General features: G+C 39.4%; 1 protein-coding gene and 1 long non-coding RNA gene across 5 annotated transcripts in view, besides 6 other annotated features; one reads left to right on the top strand and one right to left on the bottom strand.

Annotated features, from left to right (window-relative positions):
- Window positions 1-375: 375 nt before the first annotated feature.
- On the bottom strand, window positions 376-19,926 carry CCDC28A (coiled-coil domain containing 28A). 2 transcript variants are annotated; one of them, NM_015439.3, is made up of 6 exons: window positions 19,793-19,926; window positions 17,417-17,616; window positions 13,710-13,873; window positions 8,314-8,468; window positions 5,307-5,329; window positions 376-946 (listed from the first exon to the last, which is right to left on the bottom strand). In NM_015439.3, the coding sequence occupies exons 2-6, from the start codon at window positions 17,572-17,574 to the stop codon at window positions 892-894; spliced, it is 555 nt and encodes a 184-aa protein (NP_056254.2). In that variant the 5' UTR covers window positions 17,575-17,616; window positions 19,793-19,926; the 3' UTR covers window positions 376-891. The 2 variants fall into 2 exon arrangements, with proteins under 2 accessions (NP_056254.2, NP_001366000.1); NM_001379071.1 differs by lacking the exons at window positions 376-946; window positions 5,307-5,329; window positions 8,314-8,468 and adding an exon at window positions 10,540-11,355.
- Window positions 15,492-15,661: an enhancer, noted in NCBI's record as "experimental_90660 CRE fragment used in MPRA reporter constructs". NCBI's record gives its function as "activates a minimal promoter by MPRAs in K562 erythroleukemia cells, with activity observed for both the introgressed and non-introgressed 6:139099256 variant alleles {active_cell/tissue: K562}" and the evidence as "EXISTENCE:reporter gene assay evidence [ECO:0000049][PMID:34662402]".
- Window positions 19,527-20,200: an enhancer, noted in NCBI's record as "H3K27ac hESC enhancer chr6:139094632-139095305 (GRCh37/hg19 assembly coordinates)". NCBI's record gives its function as "activates a minimal SCP1, AML or CMV promoter by ChIP-STARR-seq in naive and primed H9 embryonic stem cells {active_cell/tissue: H9 hESC(naive and primed)}" and the evidence as "EXISTENCE:reporter gene assay evidence [ECO:0000049][PMID:30033119]".
- Window positions 19,614-19,673: an enhancer, noted in NCBI's record as "active region_25163". NCBI's record gives its function as "activates an Ori minimal core promoter by ATAC-STARR-seq in GM12878 lymphoblastoid cells {active_cell/tissue: GM12878}" and the evidence as "EXISTENCE:reporter gene assay evidence [ECO:0000049][PMID:35858748]".
- The window catches only part of CCDC28A-AS1 (CCDC28A antisense RNA 1), a 48,489-nt gene continuing 43,593 nt past the window's right edge, over window positions 19,992-24,887 (top strand). For 2 of the 3 annotated variants that reach the window (NR_161205.1, NR_161203.1), the window contains exon 1: window positions 19,992-20,180. This is a non-coding gene — a long non-coding RNA (CCDC28A antisense RNA 1). Of the gene's footprint in view, window positions 20,489-24,887 lie in introns of all 3 variants that reach the window. The other variant, NR_161204.1, reaches the window with a different exon arrangement.
- Window positions 20,034-20,093: an enhancer, noted in NCBI's record as "active region_25162". NCBI's record gives its function as "activates an Ori minimal core promoter by ATAC-STARR-seq in GM12878 lymphoblastoid cells {active_cell/tissue: GM12878}" and the evidence as "EXISTENCE:reporter gene assay evidence [ECO:0000049][PMID:35858748]".
- Window positions 20,114-20,163: an enhancer, noted in NCBI's record as "active region_25161". NCBI's record gives its function as "activates an Ori minimal core promoter by ATAC-STARR-seq in GM12878 lymphoblastoid cells {active_cell/tissue: GM12878}" and the evidence as "EXISTENCE:reporter gene assay evidence [ECO:0000049][PMID:35858748]".
- Window positions 20,201-20,875: an enhancer, noted in NCBI's record as "H3K27ac hESC enhancer chr6:139093957-139094631 (GRCh37/hg19 assembly coordinates)". NCBI's record gives its function as "activates a minimal SCP1, AML or CMV promoter by ChIP-STARR-seq in primed H9 embryonic stem cells {active_cell/tissue: H9 hESC(primed)}" and the evidence as "EXISTENCE:reporter gene assay evidence [ECO:0000049][PMID:30033119]".

The raw sequence follows: 24,887 nt of genomic DNA, 5'->3' as shown, positions 1-24,887 counted from the left end.
CTACCGTGCCCGGCTTGTGCTAAGCATCCTATACGCGCTTTTTCACTTACTCCCCATACAACAACTACCAACTTGGTTACTGACCTCATTTTCTAGATTTAAAAAAAAAAAAAAGAAAAAAGAAAAAAATCCAACCTGAGTAAACGTGCATGAACACAAAGTTAAGGGGGCAGAACGGCGATTCAAATTAAGGTGTAAGTAACTTTAAAGCTCACATTCTTTCATCACACCAGTATTTAAATGTACACAAGGTACAGAATTTGCAAGGAGTTCAAGAACCTCAAATTTTATAAACACAGTTTACTTTTAAGGATTGAACCCTTGTATTTCCCAGATTGAAGACTATATGGGTTTCTTCAAAACAGACAACAGAGATTAATTTAAAACAATTACTTTATTAAAAAATAGCAAATCTCACAAATACTTATTTAATTTCTTATCACTGGCCATTGGAAAACACACCAGCATGTGTACTGATTGTCTAACATAAACTGAAGCTGGGCTTGCCACAAGACGCCTGTGCATCAACAGCTTGCGATCAACACTGGAATAAGTTTGGTGAGCTCAGGAAAGAGAAATCCCTCCGCCCTGTCAAGAACATCAGCACAATGCATTTCAAGTATAATCCCATAAGGCAACAATATGAAGCACAGCAGCACAATCTCTGCGTCACATTTCCTGATGAAGCCTTCAACAAGGCCTAGGCCTCCAGTTATGGTGAATTACAGCGAGTCACATTTACTAAAAGCAGTAAGTGAAAACGATCATTGAACTTGCACTTTAATTACTTTAATTCCTTGTTGTGGAAGATGATTCTGCTACTGGATTTGGCTGGAAAAGTAAAGACTGCTGCTTCTCTTCAAATCACAAGAAAGCAAACTACATTTCATTTTAGCTAGCAGAAGTATTTGGAACATCTTGTGCATCTGCCAAATGGAGTTTTTGTCTGAATTAATCAGTTAAGAAGATTTTCATTCTATAAGGGGTACTTCTTTTACATTTCTGAAAATTACATTCAGGAGCAAAGAGAAAGCGGTATTTAAAAAAGAGATATGTTCAAAGGAAAAGCTCTTGTGTTGCTACTGAGACACTCAGATGTGGTAAGACAACTTTTAAATGTAGTAAATTATACTCTTGTCTAGAATTTGAAGACTTTTTTTTTTTTAAATTTTAGAGATAAGGACTCACTTTGTTTCCCTGGCTGGAATGCAGTAATACGATCATACTTCACTGTAGCCTTGAACTCCTGGGCTCAAGCAATCCTCCCACCTCAGCCTCCCAAAGGCATGTGCCAACATACCTGGCTAATTTTTCTATTCTTTGTTAGAGATGGGGGAGGAGTCTGGCTATGTTGCCCAGGCTGGTCTTGAACTCCTGGCCTCAAGCAACCTTCCTGCCTCGGCCTCCCAAAGTGCTGGGATTACAGGTGCGAGCCACCACACCTGGCCCAGAGTTATTTTTAATGTGTCAATAATCATTTTCATAGTAAGGAGCTGATTAGAGACAAACATGACAAGACACTAGATTAAAAAAATCTTTTGAGAAGACACCACTTTATCATCTTTGGGAAAACAATTCTGTTTAAAAGTCCAAAAATAAAATCATTACAGCTCTAAAATCTTTTCTATAATTCTCTTAATTGTTCCTCAAGAAGACTGGAAATAGGACGGGAATCTTGCATGAATTACTCATCCCTTATTATAATCACTGTCTTTCATTTTTCTCACTGACCTGTATTTATCCACCTGTTACTTATTTTTCAAGACCCAATTCAATGATATGAATACACTGAAGGCAACTAAATGCTTGCAGTACATGTATGGCAGAGGTTGCAAAAATGTACAGACATAAGCACTGCCATCAAAGACATTCTTGTCCAATTGGAAGGCTGAGATTTAACACATGTAAAAATCAACAGATAATAATATAAGGCAGAATGCTAGGTTAAGGTACAAATGAAATCCTTTATGGAAGTGGTCAGCTTGAATGTAACGTGATAAGGAGAACAAGGAGGTGAGAGTAACTCTAGGTAGGAGGTACAACCTGAACAAACGCATTATGATGAGAATGAACATGATGTGTTTCTTGGGCATCCAGAAAACCAGCCTGAGGGGAATGAAAAAGAATGAAAAATACAACAGCATGTGCATACAGGTTGTGACCAAATTATTAAGAACCTTTAAAATAGTTGACATGGTTTAAAAAAAATGGTAAAAAATAGAAATGGCAGGAAGAAAGTGATGTTTCAAGAATATTAATTTTGTAGCAATACCTAAAGTTTAGAGCAACACTGTTCAATAGAAATACAACGCAGGCTGGGCGTGGTGACTCACGCCTGGAATCCCAGCACTTTGGGAGGCTGAGGCAGGAGGACTGCTTGAGCCCAGGAGTTTGAGACCAATCTGGGCAACATAGCAAGACCCCGTTATCTAAAAACAAAAAAAAAAATAGCTGGGCATAACGTACACCTGTAGTCCCAGCTACTCAGGAGGCTGAGGTGGGAGATCAACTGAGCCCAGGAAGTTGAGGCTGCAGTGAGCCATGATCATGTCACTGCACTCCAGCCTGGGTGACAGAGCAAGGCCCTGTCTCAGAAATATATATATATAACATTTTAAGAATTATTTCAACATGTAATCATTATAAAAATTGAGATATTTTATGTTCTTTTAAGGATATTAAGTCTTTGAAATGGCTTAGTGGCTACTATATTGAACAGTGCAACTCTAGATCTGGAACAGAAAATTGAAAAGGTATGGAATCAGGTGACAAGGTCCTGGATTATCATGTAGAGAGTGAAGGAAGAATAAAAGCAGAACTGATGATACTGATGATGCCTGACAACTGTAATAAAGAGATGGCAAACAGACTTCATATCCAGATCCAGGCTCAATGGCAGAGAATGCCATGTCTGATTAGCAATGTCTGCCATGGTCCTTGAAGGCATTTAAAAATATTCTTGGAGACTGAATTAACAGAGACAGCCGACAAAGAGGGAAATTAGGAGGGGAAAGTTTAAGTACTGAGAGAACACCTATTACAGGTGAGGAAACTATGGTTGCCAGATTTTGTTCAAGGTTATACGGCTGCCTACCAAGCATTCCAAAGCCTACACTCTTGTATTATATAGGGTATTATGCTGCTATGTTTGTGGTGGGTAAATTCCACCACAGGTTAAGTCACAGAAAGTGGTAAAACAAAACAAAACAAAAACTCTAAATGTTTAACAAAAACTCACAAAAAAGGGCCGGGCGTGGTGGCTAATGCCTGTAATCCCAACACTTTGGGAGGCCAAGGCGGGCAGACCACCTGAGTCGGGAGTTCAAGACCAGCCTGGCCAACATGGTGAAACCCCGTCTCTACTAAAAATACAAAAATTAGCTGGACGTGGTGACAGGTACCTGTAATCCCAGCTACTCAGGAGGCTAAGGCAGGAGAATTGCTTGAACCCCAGAGAAGCAGGTTGCAGTGAGTGGAGATCACGCTACTGCTTCAGCCTGGGCGACAGGGCGAGACCCGTCTCAAAACAAACAAACAAACAAACAAAACCACACAAAAGGATAGGAAATACTTAAGTGTCATGGCAGAGAAAGAATATAAAGCATTGAAGGAAGAAAGAGAACTTCTTGCAGGAAAAGCCCCTTGATTAACTCAAGTCTTACCCCCTTCTTTAACTCTTTCTTGACAATAATATCTTAATCTCTCCCAACAGTTTATGTAGCACCTTATTTTCTTCATCTGCAAAATGGGGGGCATAACACCACCCACTTCCAAGTAGGGCCAAATAAGATAATGCACATACCCCTTTATATAGTACTGGGAAAATAGTAAGTATTCATGAAGATTAGCTATTAATCGCCATTACAGGACTTGGATATACTTCCTGATTTCTTTTGCCCAGGATGGAAATGGCAGGATCCCTACTTACTGCAACCTCCACCTCCCAGGTTCAAGCAATTCTCCTGCCTCAGCCTCCCAAGTAGCTGGGATTACAGGCGCCCTCCACCACACCTGGCTAATTTTTGTATTTTTAGTAAAGAGAGGTGTTCACAATGTTGGCCAGGCTGGTCTTGAACTCCTGACCTCAAGTGATCCACCCGCCTCAGCCTCCCACAGTGCTGGGATTACAGGCATGAGCCACCGTGCCAGGCCCCAATTTCTTAATTGTTGTTACTGCACAATTCAGCAGTTAATAACAGTATGAATATAATCTTATAGCAATAATAGTAATTTTTATATATATAGTTTGGAAATTTTCACATACGCATCATCACATGTAGCAATTACCCTGTATTACAGAGAACACTCTGAGACGTTAAACAATTTGCCCAAGGTTACATGATCAAAATGTAGAACCAAACTTCAAAAATCAAATCTCTACAAGCAGCATCCTTTCTATGTCAATAACTGGTTCAAAGGGGATGTCTTACTTCTCAAATTAAATTATTTTATAGGCAGGATCATTTCTCATTGTTCTTTTGTACCTTACCATTGTGCCTGTTATGTTCAAAAATACATTTTGAAAAGTTCTTAAAATAATTGCTCTAAATTGAAATGTCAAAACCTGAATATTCTACATGTGTCTTGGTGATGTCCTTTAAGCTAATCCTATAATACACTAAGTACATTTAATTGTGAAATGTCATTTCACAAGCTATGTAAGCATCCCTCGAAGCCTGCATTTTAATGTCTAGTTTTCAATTTTATGCACCTAAAATATCCTATGTGATGATATTAAGTATAGTATATTATCTCTGAATATCTCACTGCCAGTTAGCCTCAGAATCTAAGCTTCAAAATAATTTACATAGCAACTAACCTAACCCTCAGTTATCATGATAAAAAATAATTTGTCTTAAAAATTCAAGAACAGTACAAAGCAAAGCAGAACAAACCAGAAACAAAATTTCAGCATAGAAAACAACAAGAAAATTCCATTTGGAACCCAAAGGGGGCAGGGAATGGTGTCTCACGCCTGTAATCCCAGCACTTTGGGAGGCTGAAGTGGGAAGATCGCTTGAGCCTGGGAGGTTTGAGACTGTGGTGAACCATGATCGTGGCACTGCACTCCAGCCTGGGCCACTGAGCAAGACCCTGTCTCTGAAAAAAAAAAAAAAAAAAAAAAAGAAAAGAAAAAAGAGAAAGAAAAGAAAACCAAAGAGGAAGAGTGACGGCCCTAGTGAATAATACTACGTGTCTTTTTTCCACCATATCTAAATAACACATCTTTCTAAAACTTGATCGAGATTATTCACCAGAAATTGTAAGTTGTAAACTTTTCACTGTTGATAGCAGACAAAGGATACATGGAAGAATTCAATTCTTCTAACTGTAAAACAAAGAAACAAATTTATTTTTAATTTTTATAAGATCAATATAAATAGTTGTTAACTATTTCTTTTTAAATAAATTATTTTTCATTTAAGCTTTCTTGTGCTGGTCACAGTGACCCGTGCTTATAATCCTGGCACTTTGGGATGCCAAGGCGGGAGAACTGCTTGAGCCCAGGAGCTCCAGACTAGCCTGGACAACATGGTAAGACCTCCTCTCTACAAAAAATAAAAAAATTAGACAGGCGTGGTGACGCACACGTGAGGTCCAGCTACTTAGGAGGCTGAGGTGGGAGGATTGTTTGGGCCCAGGAGTTTAAGGCTGCAGTGAGCTCTGTTAGTGCCACTGCACTCCAGCCTGGGTGACAGAATGAGATGCTGTGTCGAAAAAAAAAAAAAAAAAAAAAGCTTTCTGTAAATGAAAAAGCAAAGTACTAAAGAAAAAAACTTTCAAAAAAATTTCAGGCTAAAAAATTCCTTTTTGCAAAAATAATTATTAAGTAGCATTAACATGTGTGAAACAAGAATATGAGGAGAGAGGCCAGGCATGCTCTTGCCTGTAATCCCAGCACTTTGGAAGGCTGAGGGGAGAGGACTGCTTGAGCCCAGGAGTTTAAGACCAGCCTGAGCAACATAACAAAACCCTGTCTCTACAAAAAAATCAAAAGAATATGAGGACAGAATGAAACCAGATTATAAAAACTGGAGTTTTATAAGTATTCCTAAAACCAGGCATAATAACAATCATCTCTAATAAGTTTTTAAAAGAAAAAAAATTGCCATTTTAATGATCAAAATCTTTAAAACCATCATAGATTACAAAAAGATTTCACGTCACTCAATTTTCTATATGAGGTAGAATTCATCACCCCTTGTCTTAGTCTGTTTGGGCTGCTATAACAAACACCATAAACTGGTGGCTTATAAACAATAGAAATTTACCTCTTATAGTTCTACAGGTAGGAAAGTTCAAAATTAAGGAGTCAGCAGATCTGGTGTCTGGGGAGGGCATGAACCACTTCCTGTTCATGAAACAGGAGGGCTTTCTCCCCATGTCCTCACATGGTAGAAGGGGTAGGAGGTTTCTCTTGGGCCTCTTTTATAAGGACATTAATCACATTCTTGCCTGAATCACCTCCCAAAGGCCCCATCTCCTCCTACCATCACCTTCTAAGTTAAGATTTCAATATATGCTTTCTGGGGAGGACATAAACATTTAGACTACAGCATTTTTATCTTACAGAAGGAAACATGTGAATTACAAAAATGTTAACTAAATGGCTCAGTGTTGTTCAGTTATAACCCAAATGCAAATGCTGAACTAAACGAAGCCTTTCTGGTTTCAAATTCGGCGTTCTTTTCACTATACCACTGTTATTCTCCTAAATGTATAGCAAGTTATACTTATTATCTGTTAAGAGGAAAAAAATGTAAAACATGAACTGGTAAAGCCAGACACCGTGGCTCACACTTGTGATCCCAGCACTTGGGGAGGCCAGGGTGGGCGGATCACTTGAGTCCAGGAGTTCAAGACCAGCCTGTACAACATGGTGAAACCCTATCTCTACTAAAAATAAAAAAATTAGCTGGGCGTGGTGGCATGTGCCCATAGTCCCAGCTACTTGGGGGTGCTGAGGCAGGAGGATCGTATGAGTTCAGGAAGTTGAGGCTGCAGTGAGCCCAGATGGCGCCACTGCACTCCAGCCTGGGTGACAAAGTGAGTCCCTGTCTCAAAAAAACAAACCATGAACTGTAAATGGAAATACTTGCAAGACTGAGTAAGACAGACATGAAATAAAAAGATTATAGACTCGAAATAGTGAAAGTATTGGCATACAAGTTCCCTCACATTTACTTATTCAAAAGAGAGAAAAACAGTAGAAATTAACCCTTTTTTGTCAATAGTTAATAGGGAATCTAAAACTAACGTGTGTTGAATTCAATTTTTATTTATTTTTGTTCCAAAAAGGATTTAAAGAGGCAAATTTAATTAACATTTCTCAGTGTAACAATCATACTTTGTGTTATGTGCTAAACAGTGTACCCTCCAAAATTCATGTCTTAGTCCTCACCCCCAGTATCTCAGAATGTGAGTAGATTTGAAGACAGGGGTTTTAAAGAGGTAATTAAGTCACAATGAGGTCATCAGGGTGGGCTCTCATCCAATGTGACTGGCAGGAAAAGCAAAGTTGGACACTTGGCATAGAGGAAGAAGCCATGTGAACACGACGGCTACTACAAACTGAGAGGCCTCAGAAAAAAGCAACCCTGCCACCCTGAGCTCCAACTTTAGCCTCCGGAATTGTGGGAAAATAAATTTCTGTTGTTAAAGCCACCCAGTCTGTGGTACTTTGTTTTGGCAGCCCTGGCAAAGTAATACATATGGCAATGTACTCAATTAGCAGAAATAGCAAATGTCGTTCTGCCTTTAAAAACAAGTAACCGCCACCTGAGTAAATAACACAAAATGTATTAATCATATCAGGAAAGGTCTTTTTCACCACTATCTTCTATATCTTAAGATTTTATTATATCTGTACAGAAGCAAATATTTTGCTTTCAGATTTGCCAGCATCTGTATTCTGAGAATACATGCTTAGATGTAAATACGATAACTTTGTTGGAATACATTTCTTGAAAAAAAAGAGTAAAGTTTTTACAACATGGATGAAACTTGAACATTAAGTAAAATAATCCATTTAGTCCACATACTGCATAATTCCACTGATATGAAATGTCCACAATAGGCAAATCCATAAAGGCAGAAAGTAGATTAGGGGTTGCTAGGGGATGAGGAGAGAATTGAGAGGTCCAGGGTTTCTTTCTGGGGTGGTGAACGTGTTCCGCAATTCAACAGCGATCGGCACAACACTGTGAATACGCTAGCAACCACGTGATTGTATACATTAAAATAGTTCAAAAGGTACATTTTTTCGCAACAAAAATTTTTTTTTAAAGAACAAAGAAAAAGAATTACACTTACATCTGACAGAAGCCTATCCAGATTGGAGTCACTGGCTGTTTTTCTCTTATCCTCAGGAAGTTCCTCTAACTCCCCATAGAGCTCCAAATTCAAGCGAGCTAATTTCTCCTGCATTCCCCGAACATGTTCCATCTGTTCAATGGAACATTCATTTCCTTGGGAACATTCCAGAACATTAATAATGATTAGGACAGTTCAAACTAACAGCATTGAGTAAAAACACTTAAACTCTAGGTGCTCTAAAAGAAACAGGTTTTCTTTCTTCTGTAAATTAGATAATCATTAATATTTTCTGTGTTTAATAACAAATCAAATTTCTGACCAGGAAAACAATGACCCACTTAAGAAATGACCTTGGGTACTAAAGAAAATCATATGGGAAATATTTCAGGCCAGGCGTGGTGGCTCACGCCTGTAATCCCAGTACTTTGGGAGGCTGAAGCTGGTGGATCATGAGGTCAGGAGATCAACACCATCCTGGCCAACATGGTGAAACCTAGTCTCTACTAAAAATACAAAAATTAGCTGGGCATGGTGGTGCGTGCCTGTAGTCCCAGCTATTTGGGAGGCTGAGACAGGAGAATCGCTTGAACCCGGGAGACAGAGGTTGCAGTGAGCCAAGATCGTGCCACTGCACTCCACCCTGGCAATAGAGCGAGACTCTGTCTCAAAAAAAAAAAAAGAGCATATAGGAAACGTTTCTTTTTAAAAAGCAAAATCAGGCTGGGCATGGTGGCTCATGCCTATAATCCCCACACTTTGGGAGGTTGAGGCAGTAGGACTGCTTGAGCCCAGGAGTTCAAGACCAGCCTGGCAACATGGCAAGACCCTACCCCTACAAAAAAATTTTTTAAAAAACACGCATTAACTAGGCATGGTGCTGCATGCCTCTGGTCCCAGCTACTCAGGATACTGAGGCAGGAGGATTGCTTGAGCCCAGCAGGTGAAGGTTGCAGTGAGCTGTGTTCAAGCCACTGTACTCAAGACTAGGTGACAGAGTGAGACCTTGTCTCAAAAAAAAAAAAAAAGAAAAAGAGAAAAGAAAATCGTCCCTTAAGTAGAGAAAATGTATTTTCTTCAACAGTAATATAATATGTAGAAGCAAAACAGCACCATCTCATCATGTCCAGTTTGACAACTACCATTTTAACTGAGTGACCCAACATTTTGTAATAATTTGAGTGAAATTCAGAGTTCTAGGCCCAAGTGGCTCATGCCTGTAATCCTAGCACTTGGGGAGGCCAAGGCTGACGGATCCCTTGAACCCAGGAGTTCTACATCAGCCTGGGCAACATGGTGAAACCTTGTCTCTACTAAAAATACAAAAAATCAGCCAATTAGCCAGGCGTGGTGGCATGTGCCTGTAATCCCAGCTACTTGGGAGGTTGAGGTGGGAGGATCATATAAGCCTGGGGAGGTTGAGGCTGCAGTGAACCATGATCACACCACTGCACTCCACCCTGAGTAACAGAGCGAGACCCTGTCTCAAAAAAAAAAAAAAAAAAGAGTTCTGGCTGGGCATGGTGGCTCACGCCTGTAATCTTAACACACTTTGAGAGGCCAAGGTGTGAGAACTGCTTGAGTCCAGGAGTTCAAGACCAATCTGTGAAACATGGTGAAACCTCATCTCTATAAAAAATACAAGGCCAGGCGCGGTGGCTCACGCCTGTAATCCCAGCACTTTGGGAGGCCGAGGCGGGTGGATCATGAGGTCAGGAGATCGAGACCATCCTGGCTAACATGGTGAAACCCCGTCTCCACTAAAAAATACAAAAAATTAGCCGGGCGTGGTGGTGGGCGCCTGTAGTCCCAGCTACTCGGGAGGCTGAGGCAGGAGAATGGCGTGAATCTGGGAGGCGAAGCTTGCAGTGAGCAGAGATCGCGCCACTGCACTCCAGCCTGGGCGAAAGAGCGAGACTCCATCTCAAAAAAAAAAAAAAAAAAAATTAGCTGGGTGTGGTGGTGTGTGCCTGCAGTACCAGCTACTTGGGAGGCTGAGGTGGGAGGATGGCTTGAGCTCAAGGAGGCCGAGGCTGCAGTGAGCTGTGATCATACCACTGCACTCCAGCCTGGGTGACAGAGACTCTATCTCAAAAAAAAAAAAAAAAAAAAAGTTCAATAACGACTTCAAATGTGAATCATTTTTTCAACCAATTATGTATTCTTCCTTTAAGAAATATAAATAAAAATATTTATGAAGCATGAAAAATGGCATGAAGCATGAGCAACACTATGTAATATTTTTAATTGTACACACAGTTGTCAAGACAACTTAATTGCTAAAGAATAGGTCTTACATTACATATTGACCAAGAGTCCTCTGAAGTGACATTATCTGCCCAGAGCAACTAATTTATACACATAACGTATTATCTTTTCATTCAGTTTAAGTACAGACTCTGCAATCCCTTGATAGTAGAATTTTTTAAAAAAAAAACCTTTCTGTTTTTCCTAAAGGTACTATACAGGTAAAATATACCTCAGCTAAAGTTGAAGTACATATCCTAAATAAATATGAATTAATGTAAATTATGCTAGTTTCCTCTAGCCAGCTTTATAACATCTTCATAAATGGACTATACGACATTATGTTAAGGACTACTAATGTTGAAGCTAGTTATGGCTCTCTCAAAATCGTCCTTTCTTCACAGTAAAATATGTCATATTTCCTCTATTTTAGTCATGTTTTTCAACATTAGTAACCTGGAAGGTCAAGTGGAAGAAACAGAAATATCTCAAGATACGTGTTTGTGTGTATGTATGTATGTTTGTGTTTATGTATGTAAATGTACAGTAAAAATATAAAGAGGTAGAAATCATATGGGAAAAGATGAGAGTCAGAGGACGGATCTAGGTGACCTACCATGAGAACAATAGAAGCTTCAGAGGCTAAAAAGGAAGAGATGGAAGAAAAATAATAAACAATAGAAAATATGTTACGTGAGATGAAAGATGAGTCAGCAGATATGAAGGGCTCACTGATTCCCAGGCAGATTGATGAGAAAAGACACAGTCCTAAGCATATCCTGGAAAATGCCTAACCTTTAAAGATAAAAGAAAAACATCTTTTAATCATCGAGACAGAAAAATATAAATTACCTGCTAAGAAAGACTCTGACTGGCAATGGAATTCTCATCTGCAACACTTATTATGAAGAGTAATCAGTAGGATAACAGACAAAGACAAGAAAGGACTTCAATCCAAAAACACAAAGGCAACATAGAGTAGGGGAGGAAAGGTGCTGGGAAAAAGCAAAGACGTGGAAGTGGTCCAAAGATTACATCTCAAGGGTAGGAGGGAAGAAGGGAAGAGAGGGGAAGTGAAAATACTCTGAAGATACCACCTTACTGGGATGGGCTAAAGCAAGGAGGTAGGGGTACAATAAAGTATTTTTGTGAAATAAATAATCTGCTTTTAATATCTTCTTTTCAAATATTAGCATAACCAAGACTGGAAACCCAGCAACTATTGAAAGAAAAGATACAGACATGTTTGAGAATGCAAAAAGTAAAAACTTTTACAAGGTTAAATATACCATAAACAAAGTGCACAGACACAACAAATTTGGTAGACAAAAATAAATACATAATAGAGGTCAGAGGGTTAGTATCTAAAACACAAAGGGCTCTTTACAAGTGACAACAACAAAAGGATAAATAACCAAGTAGAAAACTGACAAAAGGTCCTGAAAAGGACCTATCAAACAATCTACCAAACACACACGGATCTTCAAACTCAATTGTAATAAAAGACATCTCACTTTACACCAAGAGACTGGCAAAAATTAAAAGACGAATAATACCTACTGCTTGGCGGGAATTCAAGGAAAAGCATTTTTTCATAAATTATTTATGGAACCTAGAAGTGCGGTATTGTTCTTTTTGCAAAGCAATCTGCATACTTCTATTAAAGTTAAAATTACATATATGCTTTGACCCAGCAATCCCACTCATGAGAATCAATCCCAAAAGAATAGAGGCACCAGCCTAAAGATCTGTGTAAAAAGATGTTGACTATGCCATTGTGTTTGGTGGCTCAAAATGAGAAACAAAGTAATGCCTCTCAATAGGGACATAGTTGAATAAACTAGAGTATATTCACAACTTGGAATATTATGTTGCCATTAAAAAAGAATGAACTAGAGCAATCCTAGGTGCATTAGAGAGATTTCCATCAGATATTCTTTAGTGCAGGAAAGCAAGACACAGAATATCTTGTATACCATTTGTATTAAATAATGAAAATAAAAATATGAAAGGATATACACCTGGACTGTTAACAAATGGCTGGGATGAGGGGAAGTGGAAGTAGCAGAAGGGATAAGAGGGAATGGGGAAGTTAAGTAACAAAAACATTGGGGAGGGAAAGAATACTTTAAAAAATCAATATGTATGTGGACATTTATGCATTTGTATAAGATTATGCATCTTCTAAAAAACTGGGGAAGTTAAAATTTTTTAAAAAGATTATGCATATTATTGAAATTGCTTTTTAAAATATTGAGAAATAGGCCAGGCGCGGTGGCTCACGCCTGCGATCCCAGCACCTTGGGAGGCCGAGGCGGGCAGATCACAAGGTCAGGAGATGGAGACCCATCCTGGCTAACACGGTGAAACTCCGTCTCTAGTAAAAATACAAAAAATTAGCTGGCCGTGGCACATGGCTGTAGTCTCAGCTACTGGGGAGGTTGAGGCAGGAGAATCACTTGAACCCGAGAGGTGGAGGTTGCAGTGAGCCGAGATCGTGCCATGGAACTCTAGCCTGGGCGACAGAGCCAGACTCTGTCTCAAAAAAAAAAAAAAAAAAAATTGGGAAATAATCTTATCATTAGAAAAAGCTTACAAATAAGTTCCAGACTGCACATGAAAAATCTGACTATCTTTTGTGAACTCTGTGACTACGAAAAAATACCTATTCAGAATTTTTAATGGGACAATCAGTTAACTATTCTTATATCCTCATGAAAAAACAAGAAAACTGGATTCTTTTAATTCCTAACTTTAAATCAGGAATCCCAGGCAAGAAACAAGTTTAAGCTTAAGAGGGTAAGGGAAAATGATCTTGATACTTTCAAAACGAAGACACTAAGTCTAAAATATTTTAACTGACCAAGACTGTCCCTCTTATTTGTTAAACTTGCAAGATACTTATTCCATAATGGCAATCCTACTTCAACATTTCAACTAACCCTCCCTCTTAAAAAAAAACTTTTTCCCAGAAGTTTTAGAAGGCAAATTATATTCTAAGACAAAATCTAGGATGATTGCCTTTATGCCTGTGGGCTCTTTTTTTCTTAAAAGAAACTGGCACTTTGAAAAGAAGAGTAAAATACACACAGAAAACAGGATGCAAACATCTTAGAGAAAAAAATAATACAGAAACATCTATTGCTTACCAAATGCTTGAAGTTTTCCAGAGTGGAAATCATTCAAAAGACTGAGCAGCCCTCTCTCCATCTCCTGAACATCTGAGACATCAGTGAGGAAGGAGTGCTGGATCGGAGTTGACTGAGCGCCTTTGCCCTCTCCACCCTGAGGTTTGGTCTTTTCTTTCATCACTCTGTAAAGACGATGAAATTTAGGCTTTTTAGGCTATTCTAGATTAAGCTTTTGCTTAATTTTTTAGTGAAGTAAATGGAATTTCCCTTAAAAGCAAGAAATCAAATAGAGTCAATACTAAACAAAACCAGAAACTCCAAGCCAGAAACCAAAAGAAAAAAAAGGTTGTGAAAAACCTCAAACAAATGTATAAAATATAACTACAAAGGCATATAAAAAGTTTGATTAATACATTTATATAATATGCTAATTCTTTGGACTGCAGAAAAGAAAACTTGTAAGTCTGTATTATCCTATGCTTTACATTTCATTTCTCAGTAAAACATATTACACCTTTCCCTTCTAAACTTTATTTGTTCCTTGAACTCTCAGTAGTTCTACATATGGTTTTGGAGTCCCTACTCTGTAGCCAACATTATCCACAAATGCCCCGTCTAAAGAGAAGGGAAGATATTTAAATTCATAATCACCATGTAATGGAATACTAAAAACTTGTTATCATCCTTGACTCCTCTAACTTCCTAAGGCTCCTACATGCAGTCATGAAGTCCTATCAATTATACCCACAAAATATCTAATCTCTCCAGTTCTCTTTCTCCCATGCCACCATCCCATCTCTTAACCAAATAGCTTCCCAACCAGTCTCCCTATCTCTGTGATCCCTGATCTCCCTTCTCTCCCCACCGGGCAGCCAAGTCCATTTCCAAAAAGTAAAATCAGATCATACAATTTGCTTAATTAAAAATGCTTCAGTAGGCCGGGCACAGTGGCTCGTGCCTATAATTCCAACACTTTGGGAGGCCCAGGCAGGAGGATCACCTGAGATCAAGAGTTCAAGACCAACCTGGCCAACATGGCAAAACCCTGTCTCTACTAAAAATACAAAAATTAGCCTGGTGTGGTGGTGCACACCTGTAGTCCCAGCTACTTGGGAGGCTGAGGCAGGAGAATCCTTTGAACCCAGGAGGTGGAGGTTGCAGTGAGTTGAGATTGTACCACTGCACTCCAGCCTGGGTGACAGAGCGAGACTCCGTGTCAAAAAAAAAAAAAAAAGCTTTAGTAGCTTTGCATTGCCTGCTGAATATAATCTAATATCCCTAAGAAACCCTATCCTCATCTATGCTCTAGCCACTGAATCTCTTTCGTTTCCTAGAAATCCATTATCTTATCTTCTTACGTGCTAATCCTCTGCCTACATTAGCATCCTTCCACTTACTGCCATCTTTGGCATGCTACCTCCCACACATCTTCAAGTCTCAGTTTAAATGCTATTTCCTCAGGAAGGCCTTTTTGGAACCCCTAGCCTAAACTAGTCCTTATTACACATGTCTGGCATATACCAGGCTCTCAAATAGTTGAGTGATGATGTTATGCGCACTGCGATATAGGAAGAGAGAGAAGCAGTTCGTTCAGCGTGGGACCAACCAGAGAAGGCTTCCTAAAAGTGATAAGTGAGCAAAGACTTAAAGAACAAGTAGGGGCTAAATTGGCAAAATGGGAGAAAGAGTAATTTATCTTTATAACCCAATGCACACTACAAATCCCGACACGGAAGTATATTCAGTACTCAATTTTAACATAATGTTGAATGAAGACATCTTCAACACAGCTGTCCTCACCACAATAAGATAAATAGGGTATATATATGCCCAGGGAAAGTAGGTGAGGGGGGGATACAAGAAAGAGACTATAATATGAAAGAAGTTTAGAATACATACATTGTTGACAGTAGGTCAATAACAGTTCTTCCCAAAGCAAGGGCTGCATTTTATGTATTACATACATTATGTAATACCTTGTTACTCAAAGTGCTGCCCATGACCCATAGAATCAATCTCACTTGTGAGCTTCTTAGAAATGCTCATCTGAAGCCCCCCATCCCACACTGCTGTGGAATTTGTATTCTAAAAAAATCCCCGAGAGATCCATATTCACATTTAAAATCTGAGATAAACTATTACAGAGTATAAGGTTTCAGCATGACAAATGTATTTTTTTCCTCTCAAATTTGGAAGTTTTCTCCAAGTAAACTTTCACATCAGTTCATCATTTAATAACCCTCTCAGAAAACAAACACAAAAGATAAAACAAAAACCTGTTTATTCCTGCTTCAATGTTATGTCACACTCTCACTTTATGTTAACATAATTCAACAATAAAGCAAGCACACAGTGAAATAATACTATGTGCAAAGCCCCACTGTAAGTTCTGTCAGGCACACAATGATGATCCAGAGAGTCCTGGCCCTCAGAAGCCTACATCTACAAGAGGGTATGGAAATAAAACCACCAATAAAAATGACAATGATACAAATAAACTGCTTTTAAAAATATAGAGAAAGGAGTGATTACTTTTAAAATCTCTTCGTTTTCTTTTTCCACCAACTGTAAACTTATTCAAAATCTGACCCTAATTAAACTCTTCCATGACAAAAACCCCATTCTGATAATTTATTCGAAGGAAATCCTCAAAACTGCTGTTTATCATTTGGTACTCATTGGAATACTTCTTCCAAATCTTCTCTTGTCTTTGGTTATGTCCCTTCTGTTTCGACAAAGAGAGATCATCATCAAGGCAGTAATCTCATCTTTTATTAGGTGTAAACCCAGCGGCTACAGAATGCAACAGGCATTTCCTTAGCTAACTTGCCAGGGTGAGATTGGATGTGAGAGTAAATTTATTTAATAATTAGAAAGAAGATTGACATTATACAACACTTTTTTTCCTCTAAAGCTATAATCTTCCCTTCCAAATATCTAATACTATAAAATACTCACATATATGTAACAGTAACATATAACATAGTTAAACTTGTCACTTCTGTTTCCTTTAAATATCCTGAATGCAAATGATGTTCACCAAATATTAATAATGATTATTTCTAGGTGGTAGAATTTTTGCATTTTGAATTTCTTCTTTGAATTTTTCCTGTGTTTGAATATTTATAAAAAACACAGTTTATACAAAAACAATGACACCATTATTTTTTAGAAATAAAAACTGCAAGCTGGGTGTGGTGTCACACCACACAGTCACAGCCCCTCAGAAGACTGAGGCAGGAGGATCCCTTGAGCCCAGAGGTTCAAGGCCGGCCTGGGCAACACAGTGAGACCCCATATTTAAAAATATATATATATATGTGTGTGTGTAAAATAAAATAAATTAAGAAAACTACCAAGGCACAAACACTCAGCTTAGAGAAAAAAGAGAGAAAGAAAGAAAGAGAACAAAAAACCCTGCTGACTTTCTTTCACTTTTTCACTTTTCCCATTTCTGACTAGCTCATCAACACAGTCAAAAAGTTTTCTTGTTTTGTATATTTTAATATAAGACAAAGTAAGGGCCTTCAAACCAATAATTCATTTTGCATTTTCTAATATCTATACACCGTAACTTTCATAAATTTTTCTTCTAAATCACGCATAATGGGTGCCTCAACTGTTTTAAAAGTCAAGCCAAGACTAAAAAAGTGTTTAAGAAGAAGTTGAGTCAGGATTTACTTTAATGGCATTTTACTGTGAACATGTAAAATAAAAGAATTCACCTTTTTAACTTTGGTCGCTGTGAAGTTGACTGTGATGCAGGATTTGAAAACCCTGTGCTTTTACTCACTGGAATGGCATTTTTTTTGGCATTGACAACCTGAGTACAGTGGGCACTAAAAGACTTAGGACTCCTCCTCTTCACTTTCCGCTCTTCCATTGTTTTAAGTTCCTTATTGCACCACGGCCAGCTTCTTAAGACCTAAATAAGGAATACAGCAATTATATATGTATGCTATAATATGCAAACATGAAAGAAATTCAAAGACCCATTTCACAGGGTCAAAAGAGGATCAAGAATTCCAGAGGGCATAAGAGAAAGTTAGAAAATGGGTCTCTTAAGTTTAATGTACTCTACTATGTACCCATAAGCCCCTAGCAAAATTGTCTGGTAGACAGTTTTTGTTTTGTTTTGTTTTACCATTTTCTTTATTTCTTCATCCTACAAATATTTACTGATTCTCTTCCACAAGCCAGACACTATTGTGGGTACTGGAGAGACGGCACTGAACAAGGTGTTTGACCTCAAGAAGCCTACATTTTACAAGGGGAACAACATATAAACAATAAACAAATGATCCACATAATATTCCCAGCCTGATTCAAGCTTCAGGTGGCCTTTAGGTCTTTCTTCCAAAATGTATGCTTAAGAAGAACCAAGTAGATTCAAACAGATGTATAATTGTCATAGGGATTTTACTAGCATTTTAAAAATCAACTAGAAGCCTTACTTCAACTACTAAACAGAAACTCAGTTTCTAGCTAGGGCTAATAATGATTCTAGCTTGGTGATAAGTGAAGTTCTAGAAAATCAAACTTGTTCGTTGCCTATTTTGAATATACTTTCTCTAACCATTTCCAAACAAACGTGAATTTTATGATATATATTTAGTTTTGCCCATATCAAAAAAGTTAACAATGTGAAGTTACAGATGGCCCTTCCATGCGGAATACGTGTAAGGCCTCCTAGTTATCCCTACACAATCCCCTTACTTTATCTATTAATCCGCTCTATTTTCTAACATCCATCTATTTAAAAAATACCCTTCCGGCCGGGCTCACGCCTGTAATCCCAGCACTTTGGAAGGCCAAGGCGGGCGGATCACGAGGTCAGGAGATCGAGACCATCCTGGCTAACACGGTGAAACCCCGTCTCTACTAAAAATACAAAAAATTAGCCGGGAGTGGTGGCGGGCGCCTGTAGTCCCAGCTACTCAGGAGGCTGAGGCAGGACAATGGCATGAACCCGGGAGGCGGAGCTTGCCCTGAGCCGAGATGGTGCCACTGCGACAGAGCGAGACTCCGTCTCAAAAACAAAACAAAACAAAACAAAACAAAACAAAAAAACCCCTTCCATACTTTATTTGTGCATAGTGTTAAATTTTTCTTAACTTCATTATTTCATATATCATAAGATGAATTTATATGGCTATCTCTACCTCATCAGGTTGTAAATTGCCTTCTAGAAACATTAGGCCGTTTTTGGCATGCTGTGTTTAATTTAGGCATGCCATGACCATTCAAAAAGATTCAAACCCATTGCTGTCGCTTAAAATAATTATTTGATGAATTCAATAAATTTTTCTTTTTCCTTTTGCCTGGACTTAGTGCCACTGGCACTGGAATTTAAACCACTGAGCTTAAATTGGCTGACGCTAGACAATTACAACTGGAGCTACAATACTGCCAAAGAAGAGGCTTTCTGGGAAAGGCTCCAATGCCCAGTCTCTAATCCCAGATACCACTGGGTGTCAATCCACTTAAACCTTGGCTAACAATTTTTCTTTTAAGAAGCATTTTTTGTAACAGAACAATAATTCTGGTGTTGTTTCAACATGCAACACAAATTAAATGAGAGTTTGAAAGATGACTGAATAGAGACGATTAGTTCTCTGAAGAGGCAAGGATCTGTAAAAATGTATGATACGCATAAACACGCTGGCCTGAAATTTAACGATGCTAATACACACTTGGTGGTACAAGAAAAAAAAATCTAGGAAGTAAAGCAATGCAAATAAACCAGTGGTGGTCTAAACCACAATATTCTGCGGAGCCAGCACTCGCGATTTCCTCGTTTTTGGAAAATTACATCTGTCACAAGAGCACTGAAACCCTTCCTGTATATCAAACAGCAAAGAATGTTTTAGAGAAGGCATAATAAGTAAACTGCTCATAGTTACTTATTCACACAGTGGTTTTAAGTGCCAGGTCTTGCCTCCAAGCAGTACCACTGGGCATCCCTCTTGACATCACCTCATTCCCCTTCCCCAATCTACCGAAGCGATGACCCTTCACCGCCCAGTACCCAGCAGTGACCAGAGTGGTGGGAAGGGCCTAAAGGGGCAGGTTGCGGAGGTTCCTTTGCTTCCACTACATACCTGAAGAAGAAGGGTATTGGGGCCCCCTTCCGCAACCCGCAAAGACCCGACAGCCTCAGAAGCCACCGCCGCAGCCACAAGCAGAGCCCCGGTCACATCCCGGGACCCGCTCCTCCGCAGCTCCGTTTGTTTACGGAAGTGACGTAAGAGGTACAGCCTCCATGCCCCAAGCGGAAGCCCCGCCTTTTCCTGCTCCCCCAGTGTCGCTCTTGGCTCCGCCCTCGGCATTTCATTGCTTCCCCTGTCCTTCCTTTAGCTGTAACTCCGGCGGGCGTGTTGGGTGTGTCGTTTTAGGCTCTGTGACCCAGGAGCAAGACGCAATAAGCGGGTGCAGTGGAGGTAGAAACGGGAAATGCAGTACCCTTTCCGGAAGCTACTCCGCCCCTCGGTGAGTGTTAGATTCCCCCCCCGAACTACAATTCCCAGAATGCTGTTCGAGCATGCCCGAAGGCGGAACCAGAGTGTCGCCATGCAACTGTTCCTTGGTTGTTTCCGATTGGTTGCCCGGACTTCTCGCGGCTAAACTAATTTTGGCTCCAAGGCGGCGTGAAGAGTGTGATTCTGTTCAGCGACCGTGATTCTGTTCAGCGACCATGATGTTGAGCCCCTAATTGAGAGTCTGTTACCACTATTAATAGCTACTCTGTTCGGGCCCTACACATAACGGTGTATCTAAACCTCTCTACAATTTTATGGGTAGGTGTTATACTCTCTGTTTTACAAATGGGGAATTTGAGGCTCAGAAAGGCTAATTGATGCAGGTGTCTCTCTGTCGTCAAAGATAGTTCTACTTCCACTATACTTAAAGCCTCTGGAGAAGGAATTGCAGGCTGAGAGAAAGAGATCTATCTTAAATGAGGGAAGAAATGCACGTTTCATTGCCTGGTCTGGGTAGCCTTCCCGGTGTTGGAGTGGGAGGTGGGAAGGTTTTAGATTCACAGGTCCTTAGATTGAAGGGACTCTGGAGGAACACCACATAGCACCCCCCGCATTAGCTAATGGGGAAACCATATCTAGAGATTGTATCCATGCCAGAAAAGGCAGAGCAAAGACAACCCCAGTCTCTTGGCTTCTAGGATAGGATGTTCTTCCGCCACCCGCCATTTAAAAAAAAAAAACAAAACTATTGAAATGTTAAAAAAAAAAAGCACAGAATAAACAACGCACCCACTATCCAGAACGAACAGATTTATGAATGAAAGAAATGGAGCATTACAGATAAAGAAGGTGTTCCCTATTCTCAGTCCCATTCTACTACCACCCTCAGAGAGGCAACCAGGATCATGAATTTGATATGTATCTTGCCAATCTAGGTTTCTATATTTAAACTATTACTATGTATTATAAACAATATGTAGAATGGTTTGGGGCATTTGAAGTTTTACATGAATGCTATTATATTTTGTGTATTGATCTGCAACTTGATTTTTTCACCAAATTCTGTGTTTTTGAGAGCTATCCACATTGATAAATATAGCTAGACTTTATCAAATAGATTTGTCACAAATTATTTGGGAATTCCCATAGTGATGGATGTTTAGGTTGTTTCCCATTTTTCACCATTACAAACACTACTGTACAGTCTGCTCAATATCTTTTCCCAGTTTCTCCTTTTAATTAATGTCGAATTGTCTTATTTGTATGAACAGAGCTTGCAACTGGTGATTCACATGCTACTTTTTTTTTTTTCAAATTGGTTGCTAACAGCTAAAATTGAAAGAATAAAAACAATGTGGCATCCCATGAATTAACGGGAAGATCTGACTACGTTAGATGTGCATTGTAGCCTGGCAACAATGGTTCAAGCTGGAAAGCATCTGCCTCCTTTACCTCAGTTCAAGTAATATCTAGTTTTTCTTTGTCTTTAGTACCCATCTGAGCCCTGTAGCATTTGTGTTTACAACCTCCAACATGATGTAGGGACACAGGAAAGTACCCTTCTAAATGGACATGTTTCAGGTATTCAGAAATAGGTATTCAGGTTTTGAATACCTATTTTAAGTCCCTATTTTAGCCACACCCTGTGATAGGAGGTCAGGATGCATCTATCAACAAAAGGTACAAGAGCTTTATAGTCAGAGATCTTATATTCCCGATATAAGAGACTGACAATAAATTAGTATGCAAATAAAATAGTTTCATTTAGTCAGATGAGAGTCCTGAAATAACAGCTTAAGGTCAAAAGTAGTTTGTACTGAAGGAGAAGTATCAGGGAAGGCCTTCCCGAAAATGCAGCTTTGAGGTAGAGATATGAATAAAGTGCATGAGCCAGCCATGGAATGATCTGAGGAAAATGAGTCCTTGAGTGCCAGGCACGGTGGCTTTTGCCTGTAATCCAGCACTTTGGGAGGCTGAGGCAGACAAATAGCTTGAACCTAAGAGCTGGAGACCAGCCTAGGCAACATAGCAAAACCCTGTCTTTACAAGAAATACAAAAATTAGCTGGGCATGGTGATGCAGGCCTGTAGTCCCAGCTGCTTGAGTGGCTGAAGTGGGAGGATCACCTGAACCCAGGAGGTCAAGGCTGCAGTTAGCCATGATCATGTCACTGTGCTCCAGCCTGGGTTACAAAATGAGACCCTGTCTCAAAAAAATAAAAAAAAAATAAGAAGGAGAAGGAGAAGAAAAGAAGCATTCTTGAATAGAACATACGGCTAAAATGCAGGCCATTAGGCAAAATGAACTTTAACATGTTTGAGGAAGCAGAGGGTTAGTGAGGTGAATTGTACTGGGCTAGGGACAGAGTGACGCAAGATAGAGTTGTTGTAGAGGTACAGTTTCAAGTGTGATTTCTTTAATCTAAAATCTAGAGTTCCTCCCTGAGAGAAATGATCTTTCAGATTTTCTAGATTTTCCTTTAATTCCTTTAAACTGTAAGCATCCATTCTTTGGATTAACTGTTAAATGCAGACCTTGTATAAATTACTCCAATCATATACTTTCTTCCTGAGGATTATATTTAGAGGATGGGAGCTTTGATTAACAAGACCCTTCCCCTGCCTCCCAGTACTCATACATTGTATAGCATAGGTAGGTAAGGAGGAATACTGCTGGCGAATTTCCTAGTAGTGGCAGTGGAGAGCCATTGAGAGAAAAATCTGCTGGGGGCCCAGAAATCTCTATTTAAAAAAAATTTGTCTTATGGAAAATTTCAAACATATACTGAGGAAGACAGAAGACTATAATGAATCCCTCATCCAGCCATTAACCCCTGGCCAATGATGTCGATTATAGCTGTTACCAGTGACGTTGACCCTGATCCTTTATGGAATGGAATTTTTGTTATGTTATTTTTTAGGGTGCTATGAGGATAAGAAAAGAAACAGGCATTTGAGAAGAAAATTATAACCGAATTTATACTTATAAATTTTTGATATCATAATCTCAGGTGATTCACATGGACACGCGTAAACACACCCACAAGTGCAGCTAGAAGTAAATCACCCAGAAACTGTCATTGTCCTTGTACATTGTATATACAATGCAATCATTTCATACCTTGGCCAGAAAACTGTGATTTCTGTCTTGCAAAGCTGTATGTAGTAGATAATGTGATAACCTGTAATATTGATCTGATAAATATGTATTCAGATGAAACCTGTAAAAAAAAAAAGCCCCTCTTCTGACATTTTTCAGTCTCTAGTATTATGTTGAAGTAAATCTCAGATATAATTTAATCCCTAATATTTTAATATAGATTGCTAAAAGATTAAAACTTTTAAAGACTTCACCACAATGCCTTTATGATTCCTAAGCAGCAATGAATGATTAATGTTATTAAATATTCAGTAAGTATTCAAGTTTCCATTCGAATCAGAAGTGTCATAACTTTTTTCACATTTTACTTGAGTCAGGAACCTCTCTTTCTGTAAGGTCCTCAGGTGATGAATGGGTTTGGAAGCCTCTCTTGTACAGCCTCATTAGTTGAGCTACAAACATGCATTGTCCTTTCCCTTCAGAAAGTTAGGGCGCTATGAAAGCAGGAGTCCCCAGCCTCCAGCTGTAGACTGGAACTAGTCCGTGGCCTGTTAGGAACTGGGCCACACAGCAGGAGGTGAGCAGCCAGTGAGGGAGCATTACCACCTGAGCTCCCACCTACTGTCAGATCAGCAGTGGCATGAGATTCTCATAGGAGCCTGAGCCCTAATGTGAACTGCGCATGCAAGGGATCTAGGTGGGCGGTGGTCCTTATGAGAATCTAACGAAAGCCTGATGATCTCAGGTGGAACAGTTTCAGTTTCATCCCCAACCCCCACCCCGCCCCATCCATGGAAAGATTGTTTTCCACTAAACTGGTCCCTGGTGCCAAAAAGATTGGGGACTGTTGCTCTAAAGGGGAAGGCAGGTATCTCAAAGCAAATGGATACTCTCAGTGCCTGAAGCACAGTCATTCCTGTATTGTCCTTTGTGGTTCTTATAGGGAAGAGATGTTTTTTGTTTGTTTCTTGTTTTTGTTTGTTTTTACCCAGAAGCCTATCCATCATTTTCTAAGTGTGCTTCCACTTCCATTTCCCCTGATGCCGGAATGCCTTGGCCAAGATAGTAACTGCTTAATGCTTCTTTGCGTGTCTGGCTCAGGAAACAGCTAAGAAAAAAGATAAGAAGTCATAAAGCAGAAATGAGCTCGGCATGTTCACGGAACTGAAAGAATGCCAGCGTAGTGGTCTGGAGTGCAGGGGGACAAGAAGTAGTATGAGATGAAGTCCCCAAGGTTGCCAGAGGGTCAGGTCAGGAAGGGTTTTTTAAACCAATATAAGAAATCTGTATTTTTTCCCCTAAGCACAGCAATAGGCATTGGAGAGTTTTAAGGCATGACATGGTCTAAGTTACATTTTTAAAAGATTATTCTATAGAAGAATGGAAACAGGAAGGCCAGTTAAGAGAAATGGGCCATAGTGAGGTGTTATATAGGCTTGCTTTACAGCTCAGACCTGAAAAAATAAGTTATTTCAAAAGCCATACTGTACTATGACTACTATTATAAAACTTGGTAAGATTCCTTGAGACACCCTCTAAAAAGGGTGCCAAGAGACTGGATCTGAACTATCCAGCACTGAAGGCCTTCAGAGCTGTGCTATTGTAGATGAGCAAGCCT

This window comes from Homo sapiens, chromosome 6 (genome assembly GCF_000001405.40).
Source record: "Homo sapiens chromosome 6, GRCh38.p14 Primary Assembly".
NCBI lineage: Eukaryota > Metazoa > Chordata > Mammalia > Primates > Hominidae > Homo > Homo sapiens.
Note: the sequence above shows the minus strand (reverse complement) of the source record. Positions and strands in the feature narration are given on the sequence as shown.

Excerpts from the sequence above, each read along its gene's own strand:
- CCDC28A (NM_015439.3), bottom strand. The coding sequence starts at position 17,574 with ATGGAAGAGCGGAAAGTGAAGAGGAGGAGTCCTAAGTCTTTTAGTGCC. Across the intron at positions 5,330-8,313 it reads TGGATAGGCTTCTGTCAGAT|TTAGAAGAATTGAATTCTTC; the intron begins GTAAGTGTAATT and ends TTTGTTTTACAG. Across the intron at positions 947-5,306 it reads GAAGAATTGAATTCTTCCAT|ACAAAAACTCCATTTGGCAG; the intron begins GTATCCTTTGTC and ends TGATTAATTCAG.